An 11,805-nucleotide genomic window follows, 5' to 3' on the forward strand; every position below is an offset into this window, starting at 1 on the left:
TAACCTCAGCTTCACCCTTAAAAAACTAGATGAAGGAGAGCAAATTCAACACAAAGTAAGCAGAAAAAGGAAATAATAAAGGAAATTCATGACTAGGAAACTAACAAAGAATAGAAATGAAACCAAAGCTGCTTCTTTAAGAAGACTAATAAATTTGATAAATCTCTAGTCAGGCTGATCAGGAAAAAAAAAAAGTAAAAATACAAAGTACCAAAATCAGAAATGAGAGAGGTCAAATCACTACAGATTCAACATGTTTTAAAAAGTTAAAGAGAATATGTGAACAACTTTATGCCAATAAAATTGACAACTTAGAGGAAATAGACAATTCACTCAAGAAGAAACAGATAACCTGAATAGCCCAGTATCTATGTTAAAATTTGATTCTGTACTTCAAAATCTTTCCCTCAAAAAAACTCTAGGAGATGCCTACACCAGTGAATTCAACAAAATGTTCAGGTAAGAAATAATACCAATTCTATACCAACTCTTCCAGAAAACTGAAGGGAACTTTCCAACTAATCCTATAATGCCAGTATCACCTTGATGCTGAAACCTGACAAAGACACTACGTGAAAAAGAAACTACATACCCATATCCCTCATGAACACAGATACACATTTCTAAACAAACTTCTAGCAAATCTAATACAATAATATATAATAAGGATGATATATCATGACCAAGTGAGGTTTATCCTAGGAATGCAATATTGGTTAAAATTCTAAAACTAATCAATGTTATTCACCACATTAGCAAACTAAAAAAGAAAAATCAAATCATCATCTCAATAGATGCTGAAAAATGATTTGACAGGCACATGCCACCACGCCTGGCTAATTTTTTTATTTTTAGTAGAGATGGGGTTTCGCTATGTTGGCCAGGCTGGTCTTAAACTCCTGACCTCAGGTGATCCACCCGTCTCAGCCTCCCAAAGTGCTGGGATTACAGGCATGAGCAACCACGCCCAGCCTGGACGTTGACATTGATAGAATTCATGATTTTAGTCATATTTCCCCAGTCTTATTTGTATTCTGTCAATATTTGTACATTTAACACTACAAGATGTTGCTAAGAGATATGAAAGACCAAAATAAATGGAGAGATATATCATGTCCATAGGGTGGAAGACTTAATATTATTAGGATGGCAATTCTCTCCAAATTCAATGCAACCTGAATCAAAATCCCAACATGGTATTTTTGCAGACATTGACAAACCTAGACTGGGCAAAACAATTTTGAAAAAGAACAAAGTTGGAGGGCTAACAGCACCTGATTTCAACACTTATTACAAAGGAACTGTAATGAAGAAAAGTGTTGTTGGCATCAAGATAGACAAATGGATCAATGAAACAGCACAGAGAGTCCAAAATTATACCTACACATATACACACAACTGATTTTCAACAAAGGGTGTAAACGGAGTTTAGTGAAGAAAAGATAGGCTTTTCGAAATGGTACTGGAGGGGCCGGGTGTGGTGGCTCACGCCTGTAATCCCAGTAGTTTGGGAGGCCGAGGTGGGCGGATCACGAGGTCAGGAGATCGAGACCATCCTGGCTAACACGGTGAAACCCCATCTCTACTAAAAATACAAAAAAAATTAGCTGGGCATGGTGGCGGACGCCTGTAGTCCCAGCTACTTGGGAGGCTGAGGCAGGAGAATGGTGTGAACCCGGGAGGCGGAGTTTGCAGTGAGTAGAGATCGCACCACTGCACTCCAGCCTGGGGACAGAGCAAGACTCCATCTCAAAAAAAAAAAAAAAAGAAATGGTACTGGAAGAAGTGGATATCCATATTGAAAAAAAAAACAAAAAATTTTGATTCAAACCTTGCAACATATACAAAAATTAACTCAAAATGGATCACATATCTAAGTATAAAACTATAAAACTTCTAGAAGGAAACACAGGACAAACCCTGGTTTACGAAATGTTTCCTTAGATACAACACCAAAAGCACAATCCATATAAGAAAAATTGATACACTGGATGAAATTCAAAATCTCTTTTCCTTACAAGGCACTGTTTAGAGAATAAAGAGACAGGCCACCCATTGGGAAAAATATTTGTAAATCACATATCTGATAAAGGAATATGTAAAAAACCTATAAAACACTCTCAAAAGTCAATAATTATAAAACAACCCAATAAAACAATGGACAAAAGATTGAGCACATCCTTCTTCGAAGAAGATATGGATGGCAAATAAGCACCTGAAAATATGCTTATCATTAGTCATCACGGAAATGCAAATTAAAGCCACAATGAGATACCATTGAGATATGAGATACAATGACATATGTATCCATTAGAATGGCTTAAATTAAAAAGACTGTCAGTAACAAACAATGGTGATGATATGAAGGAAGAGAAATTCTCATACACTGCTAGTAGAAATGCAGAATGGCACGAGTACTTTGGAAAACAGTTTTGTACTTTTCTGAACGTTAAACTAAATCTGCCCTATGAACCAGCTATTCCATCCCTAGGTTATTTGCGGAAGTGAAATGAAAGCATATGTTTGTGCAAAAACTTATATACAGATGTTCACAGCAGTTTTTTTGTAATAATCAAAACTAGAAGCAACTCAAATGTTTATAACAGGTGAGTGAACAAATCAATGTGACATATCCATACAATGAAATACTACTCAGCAATAAAAAGGAATGAACTATGGATACATATAACAACATAAATGAATTTCAAAACAATTATACTAAGTGAAAGAAGCCAGAATACACATACACAAAAGTACATCTCATGATGTGATACTATTATATATAATTCTAGAAAATGAAACTAATCCATTGGAACACAAAACATAATTTAAAATTTTAAAAGAAAAAAAAATCGTTGACTGTTTAAGAGCAAGAAGGATAAAGAGCAGTATTCTAAATTGGTCGAGTACTAACCTTGGCCACTGCACATCGAACAGCCATTGACCTATCAGTCAAGAGAGACCTGGCATTCTTGTAAATATCACGATGGGAGGAAGCTGCTGCACCACCCAGTCCACTTAGAACTTTCTGTAGACTCATTAAGATTTCACTTCGCCCTTGAGACTAGACATGTATACAAAACAAAACTATTTTGTAAAATAAATTCCATATTTAAACAAGAACACACCAAGACAAAAGTTCTTTGGGTCTAATGGTCTTACCTCCAAATTATAAACGGTAAATAATGAAAAGTACAATAAAATTAAGTATTCTAGAAAGTACCTGGCAAGTAAGAATAGTCAATTAAATAATATCTTTCTAAAAAATTAGGTTTTAAGTAAATATATTCCAATATTTCTATGAATTACTGAAGTACATACAATATAATGAAAACATGAAGAGATTCAAAAGCTTCAATATCATATCTCAATATATAAAATATTTCAGAACGTAAAATATTAAGTAAAAAAGTTGAGAAATAATATATAAATGATCCAAAAAAGGAAGCAGAAAACATCCAACACATTTAAAAAAACATGTCAGAAATACAGCAAACCTTCATCTTCTTGTGACTAACTCAAACTGTTATATCCATATTCTCATAGTGCTTATTGTTATTTCTGATAGTATACTCATCACAGTGTATCACAATGCTTATTCACACTTAGCTCTCTTCCACTAAACTGTAAGTTCTTTGAGGTCAGGACCATCTTTGTATGTTTAATGCCTGACAAATAATAAGTCCTCAATTCTTTTTTAATGAATGAATAGACAAATAGTTCCCAGAAAAGGTATCCAATTCTAATCCAATGACTGGTATCACTGAACAGGGAAATAATTTAGACACAAAACACAAAGGGACAGGAAAAAGGTGATGTGACAAAGGAGACAGAGATGGGAGAGATGCATCTACAAGCCAGGGAAGATCAAAGATTTCCAGCAACCACTAGAAGGTAAGAAGGAAAGGAAACATTCTTCCCTAGATCCTTCAGTGGAAACATGGCCTTGCTGACACTTTATCGCAGACCTCCAGCTTCCAGAACTGTGAGACAATAAATTGTTGTTGTTTTAAGCCACCCAGTCTAAGGTAATTTATTACAGTAACCAGGAAATTAACACATTAGCTATGGCACCAAAAAAAAGAAAAAAAAAAAAGCCAATCCAAAAGTACCATAGGACTAAATAAAAAATAACAAGTAAACCTATTCCTTGTCAAAGAAAAGCATTCTTTCCCTTCCCCCTGATATACATTAAAAGAAGGGACAAGTAATAATTTGTAATTACCTCCTTGCTAAGCAATATGAGACCACAGTGACAGAAAAAGAAACAAACATATTTTAGCTGACATCTAACTCTTGCCACAAGCAAATATTCAAATAATATTGGTTGTAAAACTTACCTCTGCACTTTTCAGAGATTTCAATAGATTATTTACCGTTTCTGGAAATGCGCTGCCCAACATTCTCCCCATTTTTTCATAAAATGCTCCGACACAAGCCACCGCAGCCCTGTAAGAAGTGACAACTTCACTAGTCATTGTCCAGGTTAATGATACAATTATACTTTTCTCATTTTTAGAAATCAATTTGCATTTGTCTAGGACACTTTTGGCTATAATCCTTAATTTCAACTATCAAAAACAATTTATGCTTCATAACTGCAACAAATACTATACTCTATTTACACTGTATTCTTGTTAAATACTATAGTTAAATTGTATTCTTGTTAGGAATACAAAAGAATCTATATATGTACATAATAAATCATACCCATTCTTTGGGAAGAAATCCAAGCTTTTCTTTTTTTTTTTAGGGGGAGACAAAGTCTCACTCTGTCACCCACGCTGGAGTGCAGTGGTGTGGTCCTGGTTCACTGCAACCTCTGCCTCCTGGGTTCAAGCCATTCTCCTGCCTCAGCTTCCTGAGTAGCTGGGATTACAGGTGCATGCCACCATTCCCAGCTCATTTTGTATATTCAGTAGAGATGGGGTTTCACCACGTTAGCCAGGCTGATCTCGAACTCCTGACCTCAGGTGATCCGCCTGCCTCGGCCTCCCAAAGTGTTGGGATTACAGGCGTGAGCCACAGCGCCCGGCCCCTAAGCTTTGCTTCTATGAAGACTTTCCAAATTATGTCAAGCCTCAACAATCCCTCTCTTCTTTCATTATATGTAACACTTAATGTCAATCACTGATTTTGACAAAATTATATCATTTACTGTGTTGTAACTTGACCATTTTATATGTCTCTATCTTGTCCTGCCAGTGGAAATGTAAACTCCAGAAACGGAATATAGCTCACATATTTGCATTGCTCACAGTGTCTACCTCTTAATTTACAAATAATACTATACTATTAGTAAACCTGTAAAATTTAATCTAAATTACATTAACAGAACACTTGGAAGAATAAAGTAATAATAGCAACACACTTCTTCAGGAGCAAGAAATGACCCCAGTGTCACTTAGGTCAATAGTAAGTGAATAGCTGTGGGTTTAGCTTAAAGGCAAAAGTAGGACATGGTGGTTAAGAGCGGATGCTTTGGAGTCTAGCAGACCTGTGCCTAAATCCTAGAACCTACCATCTAATAGCTATGTGTAGTTGGATCTTGGAAGTGGGCAGGTGGTCTACCATGAGGCGAGTCATTCCCGCTCCAACAAATAAAAATAAATAAAAGCTATGTGATCTGAGCAATTTACAGATAAGAGAGGTTAACTAAATTTAGCTCACAATCAAACACATAATAAACAGTAGAATCAGGGAATCAACTTTCACCTCTTCAACTCCAAATCTCATGCTTTTTGATACCCTGTAGGCTGATAATAAATTTAAAATGACTGGCATCACATGCCGGCATACATTAGAGATTTCCTAAATAGGACCCATGGATCCACTGGAAATACATATGAATGTATAATCAATTCTACTTAACCAGAACTATAAAATTATGTGTGTATTTGCTAAGTGGCAGTGAACTAAATCATTAAAGTATTAACATAGCTTCAAACTTCAAAACAAACTAGAAAGTACTGGTACTGTCTAATCTCCTCTAAAACTTTTGAGGTCTACATCTATCCTAAACAAAACACAAAAATCTAATCACAATATATCTAGGTAGTTACCTAGTGATACCAGGTAACTACCTAAAAGTAGACCTAAAAATTAGAATCCAGGTTTTGAATAATCTCTCCATTTCCTCTGTAAGCTATTACACGGACCATGGCCCCTTGAATGTTGACGTTCTAGAGTTGTATCCCTAGGCATCTTCTCTTCTCAAATATACTACTCCTCCTAGGTAACTTTACTCATATCAAAGGATTCAGCCTACTCACCAAAACTACATTCCCAACAAATCTCTAAAATCCCAACTAGAATTTCCAACTACCTATTTTACACTGTCATTTGGATATTCCCATTTGTATTCCAGAATCAGCATGCCTAAAATTTAACTATCTTCCCATCACAACTCGATCCACTTAGAGCTCTCACTGTTAGCAGCATGTCGCAGGTTCCACCCACCTGGGGGTTTTTATGGTCCATAGTCTCCTACTAAGTTTCCTTGAAAGAAAAAATAAAACTTCAAGGGCCCCTATTAAAGTAAGTACTTACAATTTTGTTGGTAAGTAGGCCGCAGTGTCATCTTTATTTCTGATAATGTCATTGCATTTATCAAGTGTCTGAAAAACTGTGAAAGTATCCCCAATGCTATAAAGGGCTGCGAGATTTTTAGCTAATAATTTTCGTGTAGGTGGTCCAGGTGAACTACTTATTAATCCAGTTAATTGTTCAACAAGTTTTTTCTGTTTTTCCTTTACATCGGTCTGTTACAAAAAAAATTTTTAAAAGAACATCATTAAAAATTTTTTTTGTTACCTTTTAATCAAAATAAAAAACACTTAACACTTAAGGCACTCTAATAATTAAAAATCTATATTGTATTAAACATAAACCGTGAGAATTTTCAAGTTAATGAAAAGTTCTGTAAGAAATGAGCCATTCTTTCCTACATTAAATATTCTCCTTCATGCTCCTCCAAAGCCAAAAGGTTAGCTCCAATAAAGTGACTCTGATTCAAAAAGTTATGAGACCAACTTACTAAGAAATAAACCAACAGCCAAAGGATGCAAAATATTGGGTGTATGGACAACTGATGTCTTACAACCCAGATAGGTTTCCTATGTAAAAGTGAAGTCAGTAGTTCATAAAGTTACAGGTCAGCAAATGAAACCAAAAGAAACTGAAGAGCCCTAGACAACAGGAAAAAAAAATACCCAGCTCTACCCATAATCAATATCTAGAATTCATTTATTTATTCAAACAATATTTATTATGTACTTAACGTATGCCACATACTAGGGTGCAACAGTGAACAAAATAGACAAACAAGTCCCTGCCCTCATTAAGTTTACATTCTAGTGAGGAGGGACAGAGTTTACCAAACAAACAAATGAATAGTATGGGTGGTTACTGTTTTACGTGGATTAATTAGAAAAGGCCTCTCTCTGAAAAGAAGTGAAGGGGTGAGCCATGCAGATACCCAGGGGAAGAACATTCCAGGCTGAAGGAACAAGTATAAAGGCCTTGAGGTTGGAGCATTCTTAGCATCCTTAAAGACACCAAGAAGGCCAGTTTGGCTGCAGTGGAGTAAGAGAAAGTAGTAAGAGATGAATTCAGAAGGATAGAAGGGACCACATCAGGTAATCTCTTGCACCCCACTATAGAACTCTGTATGTCACTCTCAGTAAGAGAACTTTGTATGTTACTCTGAGTAAGAGTTTGAAGCAGAGGAGGGTCGTGATCTAAATGTTTTTAACAGGCTCACTCTGACTTCTAAGAATACTCTATATGGTCCATAAATGGAAAGCATCATGACCAAATAGGAAGCAGATGCAATAATCCAGATGAGAGATAATAGCGGTAACCATAGAGATGATAAATAAACTCTGGATTTGTTTGTGGATGAAACCATAGGATTTGCTGGTGAATACAACATGAAATTTGAGAAAAAGAGGGAAGTCAAAAATGACTCTATGGTTTTCCCTTGAGCAACTAGAAGGATGAAATGGTCATTTCCTGAGATAGAGAACATGGGGGAAAGGGCAGGTTTGGGAGGAGAAATCAAGAATTTGGTTTGGGTATGTTAACTCTGAGATGCCACTTAGATAAGAAAGAGGTGGAGTAAACATTATCCTGGGAATCATTATTTTATAGATGATAGTAAAAATCATACAATTAGATGATATCACTGAAGGAATATGTACAGATTAAAAAAAAAAAAATGCCCTGAACTGAGGAAGAGTTAAAAAAGAACAAGAAGTAGTAGTTAGTGAAGTGGGAGAGGAACCAAAACCTAACAGCGTCTTGGGAAGCCACGAACAGGAAGAAAACTTCACACAAACTGTGCAAAGCAATGATAACAATCTTATTGTTTAATTTGGGTGGAGGGTGTACAGATATTCATATTATGCTTCCTGTTTTATACACTCTTGTATTTATCAATTTCAGAACAAAATTAAAGACGTTTTAAGTGTTTCAAGGTGAAAAGATGGAGATGGATCAAATAAGACAGAATACTGACCACTGTTCTGGGCAATCTGTCATCAGTAATGGCTGGACAAGTGCTGTTTCAGTGGAGTGGAAGTAAATCCCCAGTTGTAGAGGATTTAAGAGAAAACAGAAACGTCTAGTTGACAATTACAAGTGAATCCATGCATTGTTTTTTTTTTATACTTCAAGTTCTAGGGTACATGTGCACAATGTGCAGGTTTGCTACATATGTATACATGTGCCATGTTGGTGTGCTGCACCCATTAACTCGTCATTTACATTAGGTCATGCATTGACTGTTTCTATAGAAATTCCATTAAAACCATACTAAAGGGTAGCAACAACAACAGGAACAATAACAACAAAGCACAAATCCAAAGGGTAAAGAAAACAGGAGAAAGAATCAACACAGTATTTGGAAACCAACTGTTCCCAACAGGGAAAGCTGCAAAATGACCTAACTTACAACACAGGACCCCCTAAGAGATCACGGTTTTTTTAAGCCCTAGGTGCTTTTGGAGGTGGGAGTGAAGTTGTATGTACCTTGAGATAGAGGGAATGGTTGAGAGTCTAATAAGCAGAAAGAATCCTCTTCTTCATTATGGAAGCAGACTGAAAGTTTATTCTCTGGGAAGAGTGAAATATTGTATGTCCAGACTAGAAGAGTCCAGGCACAGTTGCGGTCTGGGAAAACTGCACTGAAAATGGGGAGATGCAGTGAAAGTTCACATACTGAACTTTAAAGTCCCCAGTCTTCTCCCACAACTCCAAGAATGTAGCCAGCTAGCTATATACTCTTCAGACACGACAGTAGAAAAGTATCTTCTGGGGAATGACTAGCCTACAGAAACCTAAAATACTAAGGTCAGGGACCAAACTAGCCTACAGTGAAGTCCAGTTTAAAAGACTGGCCCTGCTGAGAAAAGTTTTTACTACTCACTTTTAAATTTGATCAGGCAGCCAAAGATCATCAGACATTTGAGGGAAGTATCTACTTTTTTTTTTTTTTTTTTTTTTTTTTTTTTTTTTCAGATGGAGTTTCACTCTTGTCCCCCGGGCTGGAGTGCATTAGTGCGATCTCGGCTCCTTGCAACCTCTGCCTTTCCGGCTCAAGCGATTCTCCTGCCTCAGCCTCCCCAGTAGCTGGGATTACAGGCGCCCACGACCACGCCTGGCTAATTTTCGTACTTTTAGCAGTGTTTAGTAGAAACGGGGTTTCACCATGTTGGCCAGGCTAGTCTGGAACTCCTGACCTCAGGTGATCCACCCACCTCAGCTTCCCAACGTGCTGGGATTACAGGCGTGAACCACCATGCCGGGCCATATCTACTTTTAAAGACAGAATATAAAATACACAGACAATAAAAAGTAAGTTGAATCAATGTTGGGAACTGGCTCCAAAACTGGCCATAAATAAAATCTCTGCAGCACTGTGACATGTTCATGATGGCCATAACGAAACCCGAATGAGGGCAAGGAACACCTGGCCTGAAAACCGCTTAAAGGCGCTCTTAAACCACAAACAATACCATGAGCGATCTGCGCCTTAAGGGCATGTTCCTGCTGCACAGAACTAGCCAGACCCACCCCTTTGTTTCAGCATACCCCTTCGTTTCCCATAAGGGATACTTTTAGCTAATCGAATATCTGTAGAAACAATGTTAATGGCTGGCTTGCTGTTAATAGACACTTGAGTAAATCTCTGTTCCGGGGTCTCAGCTCTGAAGCCTGTGAGACCCCTGATTTCCCACTTTACACCTCTATATTTCTGTGTGTGTCTTTAATTCCTCTAGCGCCGCTAGGTTAGGGTCTCCCCAAACGAGCTGGTCTCGGCAAATCAAGGCTATGCAGGAAGAAAAAACAGATTAAAAAAAAAAAAGAGCCTATTATTGACTCCTCAAAGAGATAAGTGAAGACACTGGGATTGTTAGGCAGCATAGAGAGATCACTTGCAACGGGTGACGATGATAAATTTAAAGTGACACCAGTCATATAGCCATGTTTTTCTCCAGTTACAATGAGCTGCCCAGGTACAAACATAAAGAAGATAGGCAATGAGCTGGATTTAAACGAGGTTTGAGTTTTGCCACTAAATTTCCCATTCGTGTAATACTCTCAAGTTCCATAAGTGACCCATAAACCTTCCAAAACATAACATGTGTTTTCTTAAGAATCATGACCACATAATCTCTTCACGTTAATGCAACTGGGAAAAAAGAGCAATACCATACCTTGTTGGCAGCAACCAAGACTTTATCAAGAAATCGCAACCATTCAAAGATGAAAACTGGTCTTTTTGCTTCGGTGATTTGAGCCAAAGCTTCTTCATTTAGCAATAAACTGTGGGCTAACTCCATTACGGAAGTTTGAAATTCACACCTTAAATTTAACAGAGTAAAAAATACTTGTAAGTATTTTTTAATGTTAAAAGTCAAGCTTAATGGAATATACTCACTAAGAAAAGTAGGACTACTCATTTCATTTGGGGAAAAACTCAACTTCTTTGAGGCAAAACCTGAGAACATACTTTTAAATGACAAAAATACAAACAAAAACAGAAGAAAACTACTTGGTAAGGAAGAGTGACTCATGGAGTGAAAAGAAAATTAAAAGAAATTATTGCCAAAAAAGGCATTATTCCAGAAGAAATATGTCCAGCAACACATATGTCATTTACCCGTTCTATAAATGAAAAAACTGAAGCACTAAGATCAAACACCCCAGCCGGGCTTGACAACCATCCTCCTCTTTTTCTCGTCCAGGGTTCGGTACATAGCACCTTTACCCTCCCGCGCTGCACCTGGCCAGAGGGACTGAGGTCAAAACACCCAGCACAGACATCCCGAACTGCAGGTCTCCAAGACTCTTCCTACGCGGATGGGTGGGGCGGCCAGGCCCGGCGGCCGAAGCGTCAGTGACAACACCAGGCGGTCCGGAATGCACCCGAGAAGCCTCGCGCGCTCGGGGTCTGGCTTCACCTGGCTACTCCAAGAACCGCAAGCGGCGGACCCGGGGAAACACCAAGAGGCCGCCGCAAGCCTCCGTGGGGTTCCGCAGGCTGTCAATAGCACGAGGCGGCAGCTCGGAACTAAGCACGGAGCCAGAAAAGGGAAAATGTTCATTACGAACTCAAATGTCTTCCCCACCCGTCTGAAAATGTACGTCGGACAGGAGTCCGTGCGTGTCAACATGCATGCTTCGGCGACCTCACCTCGTAGTCTGGAAGGGAAGATCAGCTGAGCTCCGGGGGTAGAAGCAGCCACCAAGAGACCCGGATGCCCCACCTCCCGCACTCCTACCTGCAGGAAACAAGGGAAG

The 11,805-nt window shown here is 38.1% G+C and overlaps 1 protein-coding gene across 10 annotated transcripts in view, besides 1 other annotated feature; it reads right to left on the bottom strand.

Moving 5' to 3' along the window:
• Positions 1–11,802, bottom strand: part of HEATR5B (HEAT repeat containing 5B) — a 103,478-nt gene extending 91,676 nt beyond the window's left edge. For 6 of the 10 annotated variants that reach the window (XM_047444811.1, XM_017004378.2, XM_006712034.3 and 3 more), the window contains exons 1-5: positions 11,699–11,802; positions 10,719–10,866; positions 6,550–6,761; positions 4,341–4,449; positions 2,915–3,064 (exon numbers count right to left, since the gene is read on the bottom strand). In XM_047444811.1, coding sequence (XP_047300767.1) covers positions 2,915–3,064; positions 4,341–4,449; positions 6,550–6,761; positions 10,719–10,844 — 597 coding nt within the window. In that variant the 5' untranslated portion in view covers positions 10,845–10,866; positions 11,699–11,802. Of the gene's footprint in view, positions 1–2,914; positions 3,065–4,340; positions 4,450–6,549; positions 6,762–9,030; positions 9,186–10,718; positions 10,867–11,698 lie in introns of those variants that run through there. The other 4 variants (XM_047444812.1, XM_047444810.1, XM_006712035.5 and 1 more) reach the window with 2 other exon arrangements.
• Positions 11,310–11,409: an enhancer, noted in NCBI's record as "active region_15578". NCBI's record gives its function as "activates an Ori minimal core promoter by ATAC-STARR-seq in GM12878 lymphoblastoid cells {active_cell/tissue: GM12878}" and the evidence as "EXISTENCE:reporter gene assay evidence [ECO:0000049][PMID:35858748]".

The sequence above is a fragment of the Homo sapiens genome, chromosome 2, assembly GCF_000001405.40.
Source record: "Homo sapiens chromosome 2, GRCh38.p14 Primary Assembly".
Taxonomy (NCBI): domain Eukaryota; kingdom Metazoa; phylum Chordata; class Mammalia; order Primates; family Hominidae; genus Homo; species Homo sapiens.